At 45.5% G+C, this 22,206-nt stretch overlaps 1 protein-coding gene across 8 annotated transcripts in view, besides 2 other annotated features; it reads right to left on the bottom strand.

Annotated features, from left to right (window-relative positions):
• The window catches only part of DNAJC7 (DnaJ heat shock protein family (Hsp40) member C7), a 41,005-nt gene that overhangs the window by 1,335 nt on the left and 17,464 nt on the right, over positions 1-22,206 (bottom strand). For 6 of the 8 annotated variants that reach the window (NR_029431.2, NM_003315.4, XM_011525167.4 and 3 more), the window contains 10 exons: positions 19,346-19,470; positions 18,542-18,655; positions 17,101-17,175; positions 12,495-12,613; positions 11,635-11,788; positions 10,963-11,127; positions 10,050-10,141; positions 5,794-5,867; positions 4,486-4,632; positions 4,086-4,238 (listed from right to left, as the gene is read on the bottom strand). Coding sequence is in view for 5 of the 8 variants with exons in the window: in NM_003315.4 (NP_003306.3) it covers positions 4,086-4,238; positions 4,486-4,632; positions 5,794-5,867; positions 10,050-10,141; positions 10,963-11,127; positions 11,635-11,788; positions 12,495-12,613; positions 17,101-17,175; positions 18,542-18,655; positions 19,346-19,470 (1,218 nt within the window). In the remaining 3 variants the exon portion in view is untranslated. Of the gene's footprint in view, positions 1-4,085; positions 4,239-4,485; positions 4,633-5,793; positions 8,139-9,825; positions 9,926-10,049; positions 10,142-10,962; positions 11,128-11,634; positions 11,789-12,494; positions 12,614-17,100; positions 17,176-18,541; positions 18,656-19,345; positions 19,471-22,206 lie in introns of those variants that run through there. The other 2 variants (XR_007065438.1, XR_001752603.3) reach the window with 2 other exon arrangements.
• Positions 10,175-10,675: an enhancer, noted in NCBI's record as "H3K27ac hESC enhancer chr17:40139962-40140462 (GRCh37/hg19 assembly coordinates)". NCBI's record gives its function as "activates a minimal SCP1, AML or CMV promoter by ChIP-STARR-seq in naive H9 embryonic stem cells {active_cell/tissue: H9 hESC(naive)}" and the evidence as "EXISTENCE:reporter gene assay evidence [ECO:0000049][PMID:30033119]".
• Positions 10,676-11,176: an enhancer, noted in NCBI's record as "H3K27ac hESC enhancer chr17:40140463-40140963 (GRCh37/hg19 assembly coordinates)". NCBI's record gives its function as "activates a minimal SCP1, AML or CMV promoter by ChIP-STARR-seq in primed H9 embryonic stem cells {active_cell/tissue: H9 hESC(primed)}" and the evidence as "EXISTENCE:reporter gene assay evidence [ECO:0000049][PMID:30033119]".

Here is a 22,206-nt window from a genome sequence, read left to right on the forward strand (position 1 = left end):
TCCGTAGACTCTAGGCTAGAAAAAAAGCTATGGTTTATTAGCTGGGCGTGGTGGCTCACACCTATAATCCCAGTGCTTTGGGAGTCTAAGGTGGGAGGATCACTTGAGCCCAGGAGTTCAAGGCTGCAGTAAGCTATGATCACAACACTGCACCCCAGCCTGGGTGACAGCAAGACCCTGTCTTAATAACAACAACAAACCAACAAAAACACCTACTAGGTGCAAAGTACTAGGTACTTTGCATACATTACATTACTTAATCCTAGTAATGTTTTGTCAGGGTAAGTATCATTCCCAATTAATACTCAACAAAACATATGTAGGTGGTTCAAGTAACTTGCCCACGATCACATGGCAGCGAAAGCAGCAGAACTGGAAAATCCAACTCCTGCCTGACTGGCTCTGTGCACTTTTGCAAGGCCACAGCATGTCTGGTGGCCCCATCCCTGACTGACTGCCCAAGCTTCACAGAAGGACTGACCCCCACCAGGTGATCCCACAGCCACCTCGTGCCCAGAGTGAGTTTCTCTGCTTGCATCTGTGTGTCTTCCTGGGCTCCTGGCTTAGTGAATGACCCCGAGTCAGCTATGCCTGTCACTTTCCCCAACACATCTGAATAGCAACCAACTCCTGCTGAGTCTACCACTAACTAACTCCCTGACTGTGCCCTCCAATCCTTTCCTACCTTTTGTGTCTTCCTTCCATCTCCATTCTCCTTACTCCCTCCAACCCCAACCTCCTCACCCCTATCACAAATATATTTCCAGAGCCAAAATCTGGTCCACAGTGCCCCTACTTAAAACTTCACGGCTGGCCGTGGTGGCTCAGGCCTGTAATCCCAGCACTTTGGGAGGCCAAGGTGGGTGGATCACGAGGTCAGGAGATCGAGATCATCCTGGCTAACAAAGTGAAACCCCGTCTCTACTAAAAAAAATAAAAATAAAAATAAAATAAAATAAAATTAGCCGGGCGTGGTGGCAGGTGCCTGTAGTCCCAGCTACTTGGGAGGCTAAGGCAGGAGAATGGCGTGAACCCGGGAGGCGGAGCTTGCAGTGAGCAGAGATCGCGCCACTGCACTCCAGCCTGGGCGACAGAGTGAGACTCCGTCTCAAAACAAAACAAAACCTCTTCACTAGTTTTTGACTGCTTATAGATCTTCTTAACTGCTAGGCAGAGGAACATGTTTATTGTGGTGAACCTAGGTTTATTAAACACAAATACCCCCACACTGAACTGGAGAGGACTCAGCATTATCTATATAGTACCATCATTCTTATTTTAAATTCCGGCTGGGTGCGGTGGCTCACGCCTGTCATCCCAACACTTTGGGAGGCCAAGATGGGCGGATCACACAAAGTCAGGAGTTTGAGACCAGCCTGGCCAACATGGTGAAACCCCGTCTCTACTAAAAATATAAAAATTAGCCGGGTGTGGCTGCAGGTGCCTGTAATCCCAGCTACTCAGGAGGCTGAGGCAGGAGAATTTCTTGAACCTGGGAGGTGGAGGTTGCCGTGAGCTGAGACTGCACCACTGCACACCAGCCTGGGTGACAGAGTAAGACCATGTCTCAAAAACATAACAACAAAAAAAAATTAAATAAATAAATAAGTTGCAATGGAAGGCCAGGCACAGTGGCTCACGCCTGTAATCCCAGCACTTTGGGAGGCCAAGGCCAGTAGATCACTTGCGGTCAGGAGTTCAAGACCAGCCCGGCCAACATGGTGAAACCCTGTCTCTACTAAAAATATAAAAATTAGCTAGGCATGGGGGTGGATGCCTGTAATCCCAGCTGCTCAGGAGGCTGAGGCAGGAGAATTGCTTGAACCCTGGAGGCAGAGGTTGCAGTGAGCCAAGATGGCACTACTGCACCCAGACTGGGCTCAGTCTTAAAAAAAAAAAAAAAAAAAAAAAGGCCGGGCGCGGTGGCTCACGCCTGTAATTCCAGCCCTTTGGGAGGCCGAGGTGGGTGGATCACGAAGTCAGGAGTTCCAGATCAGCCTGGCCAATATGGTAAAACCCCGTCTCTACTTAAAATACAAAAATTAGCTGGGCGTGGTGGCGCACACCTGTAGTCCCAGCTACTCGGGAGGCTGAGGCAGAAGAATCACTTGAACCCTGGAGGCGGAGGTTGCAGTGAGTCGAGATGGTGCCACTGCACTCCAGCCTGGGTGACACAGCAAGACTCCGTCTCAAAAAACAAAACAAAACAAAAAACAAAATCCCAATAGATTTTCTTAGTGGAAGAGATGGTAGGTCTGTTCACCATTCACAGGTCAGGTCCTCTTTTTTTTTTTTTTTTTGAGACAAGTCTTGCTCTGTCGCCAGGCTGGAGTGCAGTGGTGCGATCTCAGCTCATTGCAACCTCCGCCTCCCGAGTTCAAGCGATTCTCCTGCCTCAGCCTCCCAAGTAGCTGGGACTACAGGCGTGCGCCACCATGGCTAGCTAATTTTTGTATTTTTCATAGAGACGGGGTTTCACCATGTTGGGCAGGATGGTCTCAATCTCTTGACCTTGTGGTCCGCCCACCTTGTTCTCCCAAAGTGATGGGATTACAGGCGTGAGCCACCATGCCCAGCAAATTTTTTGGCAGACAACTTAGAGTGAAGACTGACTGAATTAATTAATTAATTTTTGAGATGGAGTCGCACTCTGTAACCCAAGCTGGAGTACAGTGGCGCAATCTCAGCTCACTGCAACCTCTGCCTCCTGGGCTCAAGAGTTTTTGGTGCCTCAGTCTCCTGAGTAGCTTGGACCACAGGCATGCACCACCATGCTCAGCTAATTTTTTTGTATTTTAGTAGAGAGTACAATTTTTTTGGTATTTTGTATGTTGCCCAGGGTGGTCTTGAACTCCTGAGCTCAGGTGATCTGCCCGCCTTGGCTTCCCAAAGTGCTGGGATTACAGGCGTAAGCCACCGCGCCCAGCTCACAGGTCAGGGCCTCTTATCTCTGACAGCCCACAGTGAGCAACAATATTGACAATAGGTGTGCTTTATATCATGCTAAATCTTTTTGGGAAATTAAAATCTGTGAGTGTTTATAGGAATGTATGACATACATAAATGTCAGCATACACTTTGCAGTGGGTAAAAAAGAACTTCCAGATAATAGGAAAATGCTCATATTCCTTACCACATACAGCCCTTATGGCCTGTGAGCTCTGATCCAGCTACTTGCCGGCCTTCCACCACCACCTGCCTCTAGCACCCTATCCCTTTATCTTCCCTAGACCAAGCCCCCTGCAGATCCCCAAAGAGGCCATGCTTTGCTTTTTTAGTGGGGAGGGATGGAGTCTCACTCTGTTGCCCAGGCTGGAGTGCAGTAGCGCCATCTTGGCTCACTGCAACCTCCACCTCCCGGGTTCAAGTAGCTGGGATTACAGGTGTGCACCACCACACCTGGCTAATTTTTCTTTTTTCTTTCTTCTTATTATTTTTTTTAATTGAGACAAAGTCTTGCTCTGTCGCCCAGGATGGAGTACAGTGGGACAATCTCGGCTCACTGCAACCTCCGCCTCCTGGGTGCAAGCGATTCTCATGCCTCGGCCTCCCGAGTAGCTGGGATTACAGGCGCCCACCACCACACCTGGCTAATTTCTGTATTTTAGTAGAGACGAGGTTTCACCATGTTGGCCAGGCTGGTCTCAAACTCCTGACCTGGTGATCAACCTGCTTTGACCTCACAAAGTGGTGAGATTACAGGCATGAGCCACCGCGCCCAGCCTAATTTTTGTATTTTTAGTAGAGACAGGGTTTCACCATGTTGGCCAGGCTGGTCTCAAACTCCTGACCTCAAGTGATCTGCTTGCCTTGGCCTCCCAAAGTGCTGGGATTACAGGCATGACCCATGGGGCCATGCTTTTCTGCACTTCCAAGCCTTCCCTTGCTAGTGCTCGCCTCCTCAGAGCTCACTGCACACTGTGAACCTGCCACATTTGACTGCATTTGTTTGACTCCATGTCTATTACTGTTTGGACCAGGGATCAGATTTGGCCCAAATAGACTCTCCCTCTGGAGCATCTTTGGAAAAAATTCTAACATTCTACAGCTGTCAAATTCATCCCAGGCTGCCCCAGCCAACTCACCACCCATATTCATGCCCTCCTCATCTAGGTCCTGTCCACTGTCATAGCGAGTCTTTTTCTTGGGATCAGAGAGGATAGTAAAGGCCTCTCCAACTTCCTTGAACTTCTTCTCCTCCTCCTTCTGAACCTCAGCACTGGCTCCACTATGCCGATCTAAAGTGGGGAGTAAAAGAACAACTCAGTGGAAATCAAAGTTTCAAGAAAACAAAGTTTAAGAGAAAAACTACTTTCTGTCTAATTTTGGAATTTGGCACTTCCCAAAATTTGGAGGGTCCACAAGTCTGCAACACCTTATTCTCAGCTGAAGGACCTCTCCAAGGGGTCCCCTCTGGACTGAGTGTGGCAGTTGGCCTGCCCTGCGGGTTCTTCCCACTGAGCCCACTCCCCGCACCTACTCTACCTGGATGGTGCATCAAGGCCCGTTTCCGATAAGCTTTCTTGATCTCGTCCTCAGAGGCATTCTTGTCCACTCCTAGAATCTTGTAGTAATCTTTCCTCTTACTCTTCTTCAGTTCCAGCTGCGCATTTTTTAGGAGCTGTTTGTGTTCTACAGGAAGACATCTGGCATCAGTGGACAAATCTGACTCTGGTTTTTTCCTCACCAGGTCTCAGCCCAGCTGCCTGGGAGTTAGAGGCCTTGTTAACCATGCCAGGGACTTTTACGGTGCTTTCTTCTGGAGATTAGAAAAAAAATCTACTCGGCCAGGCACGGTGACTCATGCCTGTAATCGCAGCACTTTGGGAGGCCTGCATCAATGAGAGATGCAGGTAAATGAGACAGAAAAGGGAACTCTAAACACAGGTTTGCTTCTATTTCGGTAGCACGAAAGAAAGGAGGGGCCCTTGGCCCAAGATGGGAGGAATCAAGCTTGACAGAATGGATCACCCGAGGTCAGGAGTTCGGGACTAGCCTGTCCAACATGGTGAAACCCCATCCCTACTAAAAATACAAAAAATTAGCCAGGCGTGGTACCATGTGCCTGTAATCCCAGTTATTCGGGAGGCTGAGGCAGGATAATTGTTTGAACCTGGGAGGCAAAGGTTGTAGTGAGCTATGATCATGCCATTGCACTCCAGCCTGGGTGACAGAGCAGGACTCCATCTTAAAAAAAAAAAAAAGAAAAAGAAAAAAGAAAATCTACCCAGACTTAGGTTCCTCACTTTAGCCTCACCACACAAAAAATGAAATGAAAACGACAGGGAGGATCTGGAACCAGAAAATAGGTGCCTCATGCCCCAACCCAAGATATCTGTTCACTTTTTTTTTCTTTTTTTTGTTTTTGTTTTTGAGATGAAGTCTCGCTCCGTCACCCAGGCTGGAGTATAGTCGCGCAATCTTAGCTCACTGCAACCTCCGCCTCCTGGGTTCAAGGAATTCTCGTGCCCCAGCCTCCTGAGTGGCTGGGATTACAGGCGTATACCACCATACCCACAATTTTTTGTATTTTCAGTAGAGATGGGGTTTCACCATGTTGGCCAGTCTGGTCTCCAACTCCTGATCTCAGGTGATCTGCCTGCCTCAGCCTCCCAAAGTGCTGGGGATTACAGGCGTGAGCCACCACGCCCAGCCTTTGTTCACTTCTTTCTGGCTGGTGATCAAATAAGTTCTAGGTAGATCCCTGATCCCTGAATCAAACTACCTTGTGTACAGATTTATGGCCTACGAAGTCCACACAGTTCCCTAAAAAACAAATGCTTTTAAACTTACCTTTTGTTTTCTCTGTCTGGTATACTTTTTCATAGTCTCGTACTGCTTCTTCATACTGTTCTGTGTCCATGTAACTGAGAAGGAAATACAAGGCAATACAGCACTAAGACATAAATAGCAGTGGTTCTCAGGATCACTCTAGGGCAAGAGGCATGGCTCAAGCAAGAGACACACACTTCTGGTAAGATGCTTCAGAAACAGGAGCCCTTAATCTAGCAGTGAGAGAAAATTAGCTAACAAGTCCTCAAGGAAATAAAAAGAGAGGTCGCATGGCACTTGCATCCAACCAGCAAAGTGATGTTCAGCTTTGAGCAGAAAGTAATCAAGAGGAAAAAGTTCCTTCTGACACACAGCCACCTAAGAGGTACTGGACTGCCTTAGAAAAGACAATGTGAAGGGATCTACTTGATTACTTTGGGTTGAAACACACAAGAGAAAAATTATCAAGTGAATAAATGGGTATGAAAGAGCTTTGAAACCTATAGTGCCATAAACATGCAGGACTAGCTACAATCCAGAATAGAGGTGGGATTAGTGAGCCACTAAAAGGATCAAGTTCAACGTGGCAGCTGCTGGCAAATCCCTCCACTAAGACCAATCAATGAGAGATGCAGGTAAATGAGACAGAAAAGGGAACTCTAAACACAGGTTTGCTTCTATTTCAGTAGCACAAAAGAAAGGAGGGGCCCTTGGCCCAAGATCGGAGGAATCAAGCTTGACAGGATGATTGCGAGATCTTTTTTTTTTTTTTTTTTTTTTGAGATGGAGTCTCGCTCTGTTGCCCAGACTGCAGTGCAGTGGTGTGATCTCGGATCACTGCAAGCTCCGCCTCCTGGGTTCACGCCATTCTCCTGCCTCAGCCTCCAGAGTAGCTGGGACTACAGGCGCCCGCCACCTCGCCCAGCTAATTTTTTATTTTTTTTTTTAGTAGAGACAGGGTTTCACCGTGTTAGCCAGGATGGTCTCCATCTCCTGACCTCGTGATCCGCCTGCCTTGACCTCCCAGAGTGTTGGGATTATAGGCGTGAGCCACCGCACCCGGCCGACTGCCAGATCTTTTAAGTGTCTCTTCCACAGAAGCAAGTGGCATTTTCCATGCCCAGATAAAATCACTGGCACCAGGGCTGGCCTACCAATTGAAGACTGTGGTAGGAGTTCCAGAGACAGCCACTGTCAGCTGGGGAATGGGAAGTGATCATGCAGTACAGCTAGCTGCTGTACAACAGAGATTCAATTTCTTACCTGCTACCACACAAGCCCATTTTCTTTCTTTTTTTTTTTTGACACAGAGTCTCACTCTGTAGCCCAGGCTGGAGTGTAATGGCACGATCTCTGCTCACTGCAACCTCCGCCTCCCAGGTTTCAAGTGATTCTCCTGCCTCAGCCTCCTGAGTAGCTGGGATTACAGGCATGTGCCACCACACCTGGCTAATTTTTTGTATTTTTAGTAGAGATGGGGTTTCACCATGTTGGCCAGGCTGGTCTCGATCTCCTGACCTGAACCGATCTGCCCGCCTCGGCCTCCCAAAGTGCTGGGATTATAGGCGTGAGCCACTGCGCCTGGCATAAGCCCATTTTCACAAACATCACAGATCCCCACCAGCTTGGAGGCCAGGGCAGGAGAGTGCTACCAATGTGGCTGGCAAAAGAGAAGCCCAACATCTTGGGCATCTTTGATTTTCTGGCATCATTTTGATTTATGACTTTAAAAAAACCAATGGCCTGCAAATACAGGACATAAATATTATATTAGGAGTTCAGAATCAATGTACAGAATAAAATGTAATAATTTGAAGTAAGAGAAATGATACTTTGATACTGCACTCCAGCCTGGGTGACAGAGCTGGATCCTGAATTAAAAAAAAAAAAAAAAGGAAAATTGATAGCTGATAGCCCTGGGTATAGAATGATGTGACAAATGATTAACCCTGATGAACTTTCTTTAGGTCTATATGTAATGTATTAAACAAACTATACTAATTTGCATTTTTACTTCATGCTTTTTAAAATTCAGGGATATCCTCACATTTTAATTTTGTTTTAAAGTTGAAGTAGAAAAGTAAATAGGGCTTTAAGGAGAAAGGGTGAACTCTAGCTCATGATGGCATGTGTAGCAAAGATGTGGGTGGGTGGCATCTCCCCAGCTTTAGGGGTAAGTTGAGGCAGACTGCAGCAGTAGTCAGGCCAGATGTAAGGGTTTGGCCCGAGCTAATCTCCAGTACTTCTTGTCAATTCCAGCTGCTTCAGGAGATTGTTGCCAAATATTCAGCCAGCTGAACAGGGCATGCTGTCTCCCCTGTAGTGATCTCAGAGGCAGAGCCACTCCAAGAAGGGCAGTTCTGTTTCTACCACAAAGATAAGAAGTTGTCTGATCAAAGCAATTCCTTATTTTCATTTCTTGCACATAAACAAAGAAGAAAATAATCCTTCATCCAATTATCCTCCGAGCAAATCAAGAATTTTCTATGGTGTTGGGGGCTTGCTTAAAAAAAAAAAAAAAAAAAAAAAAAAAAAAAAGGCCGGGCGCGGTGGCTCACACCTGCTGGTAATTCCAGAACTTTGGGAGGCCAAGACAGGCAGATCACTTGTCATCAGGAGTTTGAGAACAGCCTGGCCAACATGATGAAACCCCATCTCCAATAAAAATACAAAAATTTGCTGGGTGTGGTGACATGCGCCGGTAATCTCAGCTACTTCGGAGGCTGAAGCAGGAAATTCGCTTGAACTCAGGAGGTGGAGGTTGCAGTGAGCCAGTACGGTGCTACTGCACTCCAGCCTGAGCGACATAGCGAGACTCCATCCCGAGCGACATAGCGAGACTCCATCCCAAAAAATAAAACAAAGCGATTTTTCTCTTCTCTTCCCATCCCCTGGCATTCCATATACAGAGCATTCCATTAAGTTCATACAGTATCAAGTATCTAGCCACCCCCTTCCCACTGGACATGTAGGTGATTCTCCCCCCGCCTTTTTTTTTTTTTTTTTTTGCTATTATAGATAAAATTGCAGCAAACACCTTCATGTATATAGCATTTTGCGTCTGTTAAAGTCAGTCTTTGGCTGAATCAAAGGGTGCTTTTTTTGTCTTCCAAAGCTTCTGCTTCTGTGTGCCAGTGGTTTGCAAAGATGGAATGACTGACAGTCAGTCTCACAGAAGTTATAATTCCCTGTATGTTTCTGTTGGACAGACTTAGTCATCAACTTAGAAATTCACTTTTAAAAAAAGCATCACACACAGCAGCAGTTTTCCTATTTTAAGTGAGATAATTTTGAGAAAACTAAGTGGGAGGTAGTCCATGAGATATTCTGTACCACTGATGAGACAAGGAAGCTTAAACTACTGGCTCATCAGGCATCAGTGACAGCATCTGTTCTTTGGATATGACATTTTATAATAAGGAGTGGAGCAGGTGCTGGAGGATTAGTATACAATAAATACATCTTCTCTAAGAACTTTAAAGACGGGAAGTTTTTCTCCGCCTAGAGAATAATCTGAAATCAGAAGAGATGGATTTCTGAGAAAGATTTCTCCTAGCCCTGTTCCTATCTGGAGAAAACCAGCTGGTGGGTCTAAGAGTAAGAGGAGCAACCATGCCAGGGAGCACCCTGACTCTGGGGCAAATGTGAGCATTAGAGGTAGGCACATCCTGGCTCATAATCACCCTGTCAGACACAGAGTGCCCTCCACTCAAAACACTCAAGCAGAGAGTAGCCATCCAGGGTGTTTCAAAAGGAAGTTCCTTTATCCTGGGAGGCTGAGCCGGATTACATCTCTTCCAACTCTAAGATTGTCTTCCCTCGCCCAGAACAAACAGGATGAAGTACAACTCTCAACTGTCTCCAAGAGTTGTTTTCTCTTCCAAGCACCATACATTCATTCAACAAAACATTTATTCAGTGAGCACCTATGTGTCAAGCACTGTGCCAGGGTAGAGCATAAGTGTACAACACAAAATAAAATCTCCAAAGGAAATGGATTTAAACTTTTTAACAAAAGGAATTTGGGTCAGGCATCAGAGGAAACTTACTGACCGTGAGGGGCGTTAGACACAGGCATGGGAGACTGAGGGAGCTTGTGCAATCTCCTCCGCTGGAGGTCTATAAAGATAGTCTAGGGCTGGAACAATCCCACCTAGAGGCAGGGGGAAGGACCAAATGACCTCACAACATCTCTGGGTCTGCTTCGTCATCCACAAGGCAATTCCCCTGAGGCCAGCGGCAACTCCCTCTTCCCCCTACCCATCAGAGGCACTTACCACTGAGCTCTTCTCAAGTAGGCTTTTATGTAAGTGTCATCAAGCTTCACTGCATTTGTGCAGTCTTCTATTGCATCATCTAGTTTCCTAAGCTTCAGGAGAGAGAGAGCAATCATACTTCACACCTTTGGTGACTGAGGGAGCCCAGAAGCTGTGAGCATGGCTTCAAAACTCTAAGAGGATCAGTCATGCTGGCCCCTTAAATGTCATATTAAGTTCTAGTTCTTTGTCACCAGGGCTATGGACAGCAACTTCAAAATTGATTTCTCTTGTATATGATACAAGCCAGGCACATCTGTCTTCAAGGATAAACTACCTTTACCATTCCATGTTAGTGCCCAATGAAAACATGAAAATAGTAAGGCTGGTTCCTGCCCTCCTTTTTTCCAGAGGTCACCTGCAGGGATCAGAAATCACTCTGATTTTTAACTGCTAGAATTCTGCAAGGGCAAGGAGTCTACTTTTTGTTTCTGATGTTGGGTAGGGCCACAAAAGCACTCAGGCCATTTTCAACCATGCATGGTGACCATCAATTACACTGGAGAAAAACAAGCTTGCCTCATACTCTTCCTCCAAATCACTCCTAAAAAATAAATGATCACTTGCATAAGCAAAACAACAAAAAAGCAACAGTAGGTGCTTAAGATTATCCCACAGACCCTAGCCATTCTCTTACTGGAGGAAAGGGACCTTAATGAACAGGTGAGAATATCCTTGCAAATTGTCCAACTGCCCTCAAATTCCATAGAGATGACAAAAGCTTGCCTCTTGGAAGGGAGTTCCTAACAAACTATTAACCATAACAACTTTCCCTCTTTCATCTTGCTTACCCTCACTAGGCAGATTTCCCAAGACCCTTTGATGTCCCTTAAAAATATTTCTATAGGCCCCAAGATCTAGATCAAGAGCTTACCTTGGAATTAACCGTACCCCGATTACAGTAGAGTTTAGCATTTGTTTTTATATTGTTGGGGTCTATCCCCAGGGCTTCTGTGTACAGTTCATATGCTAGTTTGTAATTTCCTTCCTTAAATGCTTTATTCCCATCTTCTTTCTTTGCTTTGAGTGCTTTGGCATTCTACAGAAAAAAGCAAGGGGAGGATCGGTTCATATCCACAAAGCCTCAGACCATTGCACAGAGAGGCCAGACTCTATTTTCAAGTTCTTTGCTTCCAGCAGTTCAGCATCACAGAGCCCCGCCAACCCCCAATCTGGGCTATCTGTTGCTCATTTGAGCTTCCTACAGAGTGGACAGGAAAAGAGTTACCAAAAATACCAATGAGACCTATGTTACTGGGTCTGCCTTCACTTCTCAGGACAAGTATTACTATCTATCTTCACTGAGGGGAAAAACAAAACAAAAAAACCCTCTTAGATATTAAAGGCATCCGACCCTATATGATCACATCTACCTTTAGGTAAATACAAGTAGTCCTGAAACCATTTCTAATAAAGACCAAGCATCCTTGCAAAGCAGGAGGAAAAGCTATCACATTCCTTGTGATTCTAAAACCTTCCACTCTAGCCATCTTAAAGGTCCCAAAAGGAAGCTCTTTCCCAGTTAGGTCTGGTGACTAGAACTTACTCTGCAGGCAATGCAGGCCTTCTCGTGGTCAGGAGCCATCCTGAGAGCCTGTACGAAAAACTGAACTGCCTTCTCAATACAATCTTCGTAATAAAGGCAAAGACCTCGTACATACAGAGCATCTGCATTGGTGGAATCCATTCGTAGAATGTCACTGCAATAGTCAGAAAAGGGCACATTGAGCTGTGCTTTAGAATGTCCCCACCATTACTACCATTTGTGGCCAGTTTTCCTCCTTGACCATGTGTCTAGCATTCAAAATATCCAAAGGTAGACAGATTCCCAAGAACTGTTCCCAAACTTTCCCCAAATAAACCACCTATAATTATCTTTAATACACATCTTGTGTCTTACAATCCTTATTAAACTAGAACAGGGTTTGGCAAACTACAGCCCACAGGGCCAAATCCTTTCTGCCACTGGTTTTTGTAAATAAAACACTATTCAAACAGCCACACCCATTGGTTCATCTATTATCTAGGGCAACCTTTGCACTGCAATGGCAGAGTTGAGTTAGTTGCAACAGAGACCCTGTGGCCTGCAAAGGCTAAAATCTGGCCCTTTGCAGAAAGTGTGCCAACCAGTGGAGTAGAAGGAAAAGGACTACCTTAAACAAACAAACAAAACCACAAAAACACAATCTGTTCTTTCATATATAGCTCAAGTACCTGCTATACTACTATACTCCTGTATACCCTACGGGTTTTCAAAGCTGGTCTAATCTTTGACTTTAAGTCCCAAGAGGGTCTGATCAGCCCTAGCTGGCCTACTCTGGGGACCATATCCTGTGGTGAAGCTGCCGGACACCATCAGTCCAATGGTATCTGGCATTTTAATGTCCAGCTAGCCTGACTGCATACCTAGCCACAGACTGTGCTTCTGGATAACGACCCAGCATTGCTAAACATTCTGCCTTGAGGATTTTGAAGCGATGGCAGGCAGGGGCAAATTCTAGGGCACGGTCCATGCAGAAAACAACCTGTAGGGAAGAAGAAAACAAATAAGGCTCTTCATCAGGGACTCCAGAAACATCTTCACTTTAGTTTAGTCACAGGTAACAGACTCAAAACTCAATGAGGTCTTTGGGTCCACTTCTAAGTAATATCAAAGTTTAAAAACATACCTAATTCATTAAATAAAAGCACTGAAATGAGGACAGCAAAGGCTCCAGATGATAATGAGGACAGTAAACATTTACTGGGTACTTTCATATATGAACCCATTTAATCCTCACAAGAATTTTATGAAATAGGCAATATTATCACTTTTTTTTTTTTTTTTGAGATGGAGTCTCACTCTGTCACCCAGGCTGGAGTGCAGTGGCAGGATCTTGGCTCACTGCCACCTCTGCCTCCTGGGTTCACGCCATTCTCCTGCCTCAGCCTCCCGAGTAGCTGGGACTACAGGCGCCCGCCACCACGCCCAAGCTAATTTTTTTTTGTATTTTTAGTAAACACAGGGTTTCACCATGTTAGCCATGATGGTCTTGATCCTCGTGATCCGTCCTCCTCAGCCTCCCGAAGTGCTAGGATTACAGGCGTGAGCCACCACACCCAGCCTTAAAATAGTTATTTTAAATGGCTCTAAATAGGCTACATCAGATTACTATTCCCAACATGCCACTATACAAACCACAAGCCAAGGAGCAATCACACACACAAAAAGGTGGGGATTAATTTACTCTTTCAGCCTCATAAAGCATCTCCATATATTCTGTTTTTCTCTTTTTACTAGTTTGTCCTCTGAGCTTTCAGTTTTGGTTTAGCTGCTATTTATTCCTGGGAGAGCCTTGCTGAATCACATTCACGCCGAGAATAAATGAACCGAAGGACAAATCTGGAGTTAAGGGACACCTATTCCCTCTAAGAATTTGGCCATGGGGGTCAGGAAGAGATAAACTCTGAAAACTTACAAGCAGAAAAATTCAAATTCCATCCACAGGAGACTGGTTAGTTAACATGGACATTCATATAATGGAATACTATATAGTTCTAAAATAGAATGAAGAAGCTCTTCATGTACTAATATGGAAAGACTTCCAAGAGCTACTCAGTGATTTTTTTTTAAAGGTGCAGACCTGCCATAAAGCATACTACCTTTCACGCTAAATAAAGGGAGAAAATCAAGGATCTTTATTTTATATAAGTACAACAAAACTAAGGAAGAAAATAGAAGACATAAGAACAGTGGTTAGCTTAGGGGAGTGAGAACTGGGCGGAGAGAGGACAAGTTTGAGGGGACACTCATCACTGAATATTTTTCATACTTTCTAACTTTTGTTTGTTTTGTTTTTGAGATGGGGTCTTGCTCTGCTGTTCAGGCTGGAGTATCAGTGGCACAATCATGGCTCACTGCAGCCTCGACTTCCCAGACTCCAGTGATTCTCCTGCCTCAGCCTCATGAGTAGTTGGGACTGCAGGCACACGTCACCACACTCAGCTAAAATTTTAAATTATCTGTAGAGACAGGGTCTCAATAAGTTGCCCAGGTTGGTCTCGAACTCCTCGCCTCAAGTGATCCTCCTGCCTTGGCCTCCCAAAGTGCTGGGATTACAAGCATAAGCCACTGCATCTGGCAACACTTTCTAGTTTTTGAACCATGAATAGCACCTATTCCAAAACTGAAATTTAAAATATGAGCAAGTCAGTAAACACTACCACATTACCAGCTGTTTCACTGAGAAGACTTTCTGCAGTGTCACACAGCAGTGACAGGAATGCCTCTCCTTCAGTGGCACAGGTTTACTGTCCTGAAAGTTTTCTGTTTTTTTGTTTTTTGTTTTTTTTGAGATGGAGTTTCGTTCTTGTTGCCCAGGCTGCAGTGCAATGGCATGATCTTGGCTCACTGCAACCTCTGCCTCCCGGGTTCAAGCAATTCTCCTGCCTTTGCCCTCTGAGTAGCTGGGATTACAGACATGCGCCACCAGGCCTGGCTAATTTTTTGTATTTTTAGTAAAGACAGGGTTTCTCCATGTTGGTCAGGCTGGTCTCTAACTCCCGACCTCAGGTGATCCGCCCACCTCGGCCTCCCAAAGTGCTGGGATTACAGCCATGAGCCACCGCACTCGGCATGTCCTGAAAGTTCTAAGGACAATATGAAAACTTAAGCATTATGTAGGTAGAGTTGTGCTAACTGTCCTGCCCCCCCAGATGGAAAAGGAATGAGGGGGCAGGAAAAAGTCAGTCAAAATGTCAGCAGCCACACCCTGTTGCCTTCACAAGGACCCCGTTTTATGCAGAGCTGGTTCTGCTAATCATGGGGATCGTCAGTGCTTCACTTCCCACCCCCCAACCTCCCCATGACTAGGGACAGCTGCAGGCAAAGAAGATCTTTTGTTTCTTCCAAGTTCATCTGTTTCCCCTGCCAGGATCATAATTCTTCATTTGTGACATCACCGTGAGCTACAGTGGGGGGGCTGGGATGTCACAAACAGAGGATTCTGTCACAAACTCAGGATTCTGGCTCTGGAGTAGGCAAGAGAGAAAAGAAACCCAAAAGACCACCTCTCAAGACAAAGCTTTTGCCTATGTAAACCTCAGAAAACTGACAGTAGGCAGAATTGCTTTCCAAACACACACATGCCAAACAAAACAAACTTATGAATTACATTACAAAGACAACTGTGGTTATTAAAACCAATGGACAGAAGAGGGATGCTAATAAGTTACTGCCGGGACTCTGCATAAGCTAATCAGATATATACATTACCAAATAAAAGACCATCAGTCAATGTGAATGATTCTTAATGTATCCTCTTATCAAAACATTTACTGAGGCCAGGCGTGGTGGCTCACGCCTGTAATCCCAGCACTTTGGGAGGCCAAGGCGGGAGGATCACAAGGTCAGGAGATCAAGACCATCCTGGCTAACACGGTGAAACCCTGTCTCTACTAAAAACACAAAAAATTAGCTGGGCGTGGTGGTGGCCGCCTGTAGTCCCAGCTACTCAGGAGGCTGAGGCAGGAGAATGGCATGAACCCAGGAGGCGGAGCTTGCAGTGAGCCGAGATCCCGCCACTGCACTCCAGCCTGGGCAACAGACCAAGACTCTGCCTCAAAACAAAACAAAACAAAACAAAAACAAAACAAAAAAATTTACTGAGCACATGCTACAAAAAGTACTGAGCAAATTCCCACATATGAAGTGACAACTCTGTTCCTTGGATAGTAGTCACAAACTTAAGTGATCCAGAAAATCTCTCCTGATCAGTGGTTTTTAACCTTTTTGGGGGTTATCTACCTCCCCTTTTGAAACTCAAGTGAAAACTATTTCCAAGCACCATCTAAAGAAGAAAGGAGTTACACAGATAAAGCATAATAACTGCGAGGTCTAGAAAGATATCTAGAACTTTTGGCCGGGGAGGTGGCTCACGCCTGTAATCCCAGCACTTTGGGAGGCCAAGGCGGGCAGATCACCTGAGGTCGGGAGTACGAGACCAGCCTGACCAACATGCAGAAACCCCGTCTCTACTAAAAAAAAAAAAAACAAAATTAGCCATGCGTGGCAGCACATGCCTGTAATCCCAGCTACTCGGGAGGCTGAGGCAGGACAATTGTTTGAACCTGGGAGGCGGAGGTTGCAGTGAGCCGAGATCACGCCACTGCACTCCAGCCTGGGCAACAAGAGCCAAACTCTCTCTCAAAAAAAAAAAAGGCCTGGCGCGGTGGCTCACGCCTGTAATCCCAGCACTTTGGGAGGCTGAGGCGGGCAGATCAGGAGGTCAGGAGTTTGAGACCAGCCTGACCAACATGGTGAAACCCCATCTCTACTAAAAATACAAAAATTAGCTGGGCGTGGTGGCGCATGCCTATAATCCCAGCTACTCAGGAGGTTGAGGCAGGAGAATCGCTTGAACCCGGGAGGCAGAGGTTGCAGTGAGCCGAGATTATGCCACTGTACTCCAGCCTGGGTGACAGAGTGAAACTCCATCTCAAAAAACAAACAACAACAACAAAAAACAAAAACAAAAAACAAAACTACAAAACTTAGCCAGGTGTGATGGCATGCGCCTGTAATCCCAGGGTGGCTGAGGCAGGATAATCGTTTGAACCCGGGAGGCGGAGGTTGCAGTTAGCCACTGTGCTCCAGCCTGGGTGACAGAGTGAGACTAGGCCTCAAAAAAAAAAAAAAAAAAAAAAAAAAGATTATCCAAACCTAATATTTAATTCCAGCGGGCTTTCCCTTTATTAAGAAGTACACTATTAGACCAGTGCTTTACATCAACAATAGAAACAAACTCAAGTGGCACACTCATTTTACCTTTTATCATAGGGCCAAATATAATTAAGAAAATAAGTACCTTAGCACAAAACATTTTTAAGAGGAAAAGTCAGAAGCCTAATTTAAGTGATAATTTACTATTCTAGAGCTTTTGTGCCATACTACTCCTCTTAATTATCACACACACACACGAATGGGAATTTTGCGACAAAGAGCAGATGAGATTATCTCATGGTTGTACTGTACCTTCCGAAAATCTCGCTTCTCAAAATCTGTTTCTGCTATTTTCTCATATTCCATGACTGCATTAGCATTCTTGAACTGCACCGGAAAATCAGACATAGGAAAGTTTTAATGAAGCTGTAGATTAAACAACCACAAAAAAATTAACAAGGCCTTGATGAATTTGAATTCAGTAAATATACCACACTGCCTCTTTTGATAGAGATAGGGTCGAATGCATACCTCCTGTTGTGAATGGCCATTTTTATGATCCAGTTCTAGGGCTCTCTGGCAACTGCGACAGGCTGCCATGGCATTCCCTAGAGAGAGGTGGTACTCGACCTCTCATAGAAGTCCCTAGGAGATTTTCTTTCAAGAAAATCAGAACCACAGACATTTCACAAATCAAATTGATGAAGATACAGTCAAGACTTCTTAACAGAAGGGCTAGACCCAATCTTCACCCTCAGTTTGAACTTCAAGTCAGGAACACAAGTGTTATGCTTGATATACATGAAATAAAGGCAATGCATTGCCAGGGATTGAGCATATGTTTTGAGATTCTCACTGAAATGCATCTAGGGTAAACTGTATATACAGTCATACACTCTGGTCAACAATGAACTGTATATATGGCAGTGCTCCTGTAAAATTGTAATACCGTATTTTTACTGTACCTTTTCTGTTTAGATACACAAATACCACTGTGTTATAGCTGCCTACAATATTCAGGACAGTAACACGCTATACAGGTTTTAGTCCAGAAGCCACTGCCATATAGCCTAGGTGTGTAGCAGGCTATGCCACCCAGGTTTGTGTAAGTATACTTTATGATTCTGCACAATGACAAAATCACCTAACAAAATGTATGCCTGTCATTAAGCGACACATACTATATATGGAGATGGAACTAAAACATGTTTTAGCTGCTACCAATTTAATCAAGGCTTGAATTTACTCAAATTCTTTTTTATTTTTTTGAGACAGGTTCTTGCTCTGTTGCCCGGGCTATAGTGCAGTGGTGCGATCACGGCTCAGCCTCAACCTCCTGAGCACAAGCAATCCTCCCACCTGAGCCTCCTGAGTGGCTGGGAGCACAGGTAGGTGCATGGCACCAGGCCTGGCTAATGTAAAAAATTTTTTTGTGGAGACAGGGTCTCACTAAGTCCCAAACTCTTAAATTCTTTAACCTCACTCAAATCAGTCCCTGGAAGCATTTGCCTATTCCCCAGCTATCTCAGAAACACTTCAATTTTCACAGATTTTTAAAAGCTGTCAATCATATTCAAAACTCATTTTACAGATTAGGAAGCTGAGGCTTAGAGAGGCTATGAAACTCGCCTAAAGTCACCCAGGTGTGCTGATGGCAGAAGTGAGACTAGACCTCAGTTCCGACTTTCAAGTAGCCACTCCTCCCAAATATACCATACTGCCTCTTTTGACAGAAACAGGATCAGACCCGTACCTCTTGTTGTGCCTGAGCATTTTTATGATCCAGTTCTAGGGCTCTCTGGAAGCTGCGACATGCTGCCATGGCATTCCCCAGAGAGAGGTGGCACTTGCCCTCTCGTAGATGTCCCTAAAAGAACACCAAGAGGGAAGAAAAGAAGCATGATTGGCCAAGTGGAAAGAAATCAACAGCAGCAACAGACACCCACACAAAACCAACACAGAGGCCAGGCGCGGTGACTCACACCTGTAATCCCAGCACTTTGGGAAGCTGAGGCGGGCAGATCACTCACTTGGGGTCAGGAGTTTGAGACTAGCCTGGCCAACATGACAAAACTCCGTCTCTTACTAAAAATACAAAAATTAGCCGGGTGTGGTGGCATATGCCTGTGGTCCCAGCTACTCTGGAGGCTGAGGCAGGAGAATTGCCTGAAGCCGAGATCGCGCCACTGCACTCCAGCCTGGGCGACAGAGCTAGACTCCATCTCAAAAACAAAAACAAACAAACGAACAAAACTAACACAAAATGAAAATGACTACAGCAGTAGTTCTCAACCTGGGCAATGTGCCCTCCAGGGGACATTTAGCAATGTTAAGAGACATTTTTGGTTGTTACAACTGGGCAGAGGGGGTGCTACTCATACTCAGTGATTAAAAGTCAGAGATGCTGCTAAACAACCCACAGTGCACAGTAAAGTCCCCCACAACAAAGAATAATCTGGTCCCAAATGTCAGTAGTGTCAAGGTTGAGAAATACGGGGCTAGAGAAACTCAACTGTAGCAACCCAGCCTTCCCCAAACAGCCCCATTACATACATACCCGGACAAAACTGTCATCCAACCTCACTGACTGTTGTGCATCTCCAAGAGCTTCCCGGAACCTTCCAAGCATCATCAAGGTGGCTGCTCGATTACCATAATAGCTAGCATTTTTAGGACACATATCTATAGGAAAGGCAGAAGAACGTAAAACAAAGTTTAGAACAGGTCCCTGCTTTGAAAACTTAGAGGGGGCTGGGCGCAGTGGCTCATGCCCATAATCCCAGTACTTTGGGAGGCCAAGAGGGGAGACCACTTGAGGTCAGGAGTTCAAGACCAGCCTAGTCAACATGGCACAACCCCATCTCTACTAAAATACAAAAAAAAAAAAAAAATAGCTGGGCGTGGTGGTGGGCCCCTGTAATTCCAGCTACTCAGGAGGCTGAAGCATAAGAATTGCTTGAATCTGGGAAGTGGAGGTTGCAGTGACCCAAGAGCACATCACTGCACTCCAGCCTGGGCGACAGAGGAAGACCCTGTCTCAAAAAACAAACAAACAAATAAACAAAAACTTAGAGGGCATCTCCCTCCAAACAATGTTAAGGGAATCTATCTGTAACGCTCATAAACTCTTTTTTCTTCATGGAGACAGGGTCTCACTCTGTTGCACAGGCTACAGTGCTGTGGTGCTATCTCGGCTCACTGTAACCTCTGCCTCCTGGGTTCAAGTGATTCTTGTGCCTTAGCCTCCCAAGCAGCCAAGCAGCTAGGATTACAGGCATGTGCCACCACGCCTGGCTAATTTCTGTATTTTTATTTATTTATTTGAGGCACAGTCTGGCTCTGTTGCCCACGCTGGACTGCAGTGGTATGATCTCTGCTCACTGCATCCTCCGCCTCCTGGGCTCAAACCATCTTCCTACCTCAGCCTCCTAAGTGGCTGGGACCACAGGCACACGCCACCACATCCAGCTAATTTTTGTATTTTTTGTTGAGATGGGGTTTTGCCGCGTTGGCCAGGCTGGTCTTGAACTCCTGGCCTCAAGTGATCCATCTGCCTCAGCCTCCAAAAGCGTTGGGATTACAGGAGTGAGCTATTGCACCCAGCCCTGACACACTCTCTTTAGAATGCCACAGCCAGCACAGTGGCTCACACCTATAATCTCAGCACTTTGGGAGGCCGAGGTGGGCAGATCACTTGGGGCCAGGAGTTTTGAGACCAGCCTGGCCAACATGGCAAAACGCTGTCTCTGCTAAAATACAAATAAATTAGCCAAGCATGGTGGCACACACCTGCAATCCCAGCTACTCAGGTGGCTAAGGCATGAAAATCGCTTGAAACTAGGAGGTGAAGGTTGCAATAAGCCAAGATTGTGCCACTACACTCCAGCCTGGGTGACAGTGACACTGTCTCAACAATAAATAAATAGGCTGCATCCAAATTTCTGACTGCTTGTGCAAATGGACAGCAGCAAGGATACAATCAGTTTTAAAACAAAACAAGGTACGGCTTTGAAGTGTAGTGATTATCTTTTGAGGAGAGAGGCAGCTTATTAATCTTAATGAACTGTTTTGTATAATGAGACATTAAAATGAAATGTGCATGTTGAGCTGGGGTAAGCAAATTAGGTGAGAAGAATGCTGACACGGGATTAAAGTATGCTGGCAAATTAAGCATGGAGATAACTAAGACTTCTTTTATGTACAAAGGCCATTTTCTAAGGTAGTAAATGAATTGACAATGACTGAAATGTATTTAGGTGGGTTTTGCCATAACATTCAGTATTTCTGGAATTGCCTTTAATTTATCAAAAGAAAAACTACCCACCCCAGTTAGAAGAAGTTATCACAGCTGGGGATGGTGGCACATCCCTGTAATTCTAGCACTTTGGGAGGCCAAGGTAGGAGGATCGCTTGAGCCCAGGAGTTTGAGACCAGCCGGGGCAACATGGTAAGACCCTGTCTCTATTTTAAAAAATTTAAAGAGTTAAAAAAAAAGAAAAGAAAAAGAAAAAAGTTATCATTCATGAGTTTGTTTTTTTTTTTGAGACGGAGATTCGCGCTTGTTGCCCAGGCTGGAGTGCAGCGACGTGATCTTGGCTCACTACAACCTCTGCCTCCCAGGTTCAAGCAATTCTCCTGCCTCAGCCTCCCGAGTAGCTGGGATTACAAGCGCCCACCACACCTGGCTAATTTTTGTATCTTTAGAGACAGGGTTTCACCATGTTAACAGGCCAGGCTGAAATGAAATGTGCATGTTGAGTTGGGGTAAGCAAATTAGGGGAGAAGAACTCCTGACCTCAGGTGATCCGCCCGCCTCGGCCTCCCAAAATGCTGGGATTACAGGCATGAGTCACCACGCCTGGCCTTCATGAGATCATTAAGCCTGAAGGAGTTCATACAGTAACAGTTATCAACCCATTGGGCAAAAGGCTACTTCTCAGAGAGAAGCTACTTTTCTCAATTTTTTTTAATTTAATTTTTGAGATGGAGTTCTTTGGTCGTCCCCCAGGCTGGAGTGCAACGGCAGGATCTCAGCTCACTGCAACCTCCACCTCCTGGGTTCAAGCGATTCTCCTGCCTCAGCCTCCCTAGTAGCTGGGATTACAGGCACGCACCACCACACCCAGCAAATTTTTGTATTTTGTAGAGACAGGGTTTCACCATGTTAGCCAGGCCGGTCTCAAACTCCTGACTTTAGGTGATCTGCCTGCCTTGGCCTTCCAAAGTGCTGGGATTATAGGCGTGAGCCACTGAGCCTGGCCTATTTTTTTTATCTTTTTGAGATGAAGTCTTGCTTTGTTGCCCAGGTTGGAGTGCAGTGGCACAATCTTGGCTCACTGCAACTTCTACCTCCCGAGTTCAGGCAATTCTCCTGCCTCAGCCTCCCAAGTAGCTGGGATTACAGGTGCCCGCCACCAG

The sequence above is a fragment of the Homo sapiens genome, chromosome 17 (genome assembly GCF_000001405.40).
Source record: "Homo sapiens chromosome 17, GRCh38.p14 Primary Assembly".
In the NCBI taxonomy this organism is placed as follows: domain Eukaryota; kingdom Metazoa; phylum Chordata; class Mammalia; order Primates; family Hominidae; genus Homo; species Homo sapiens.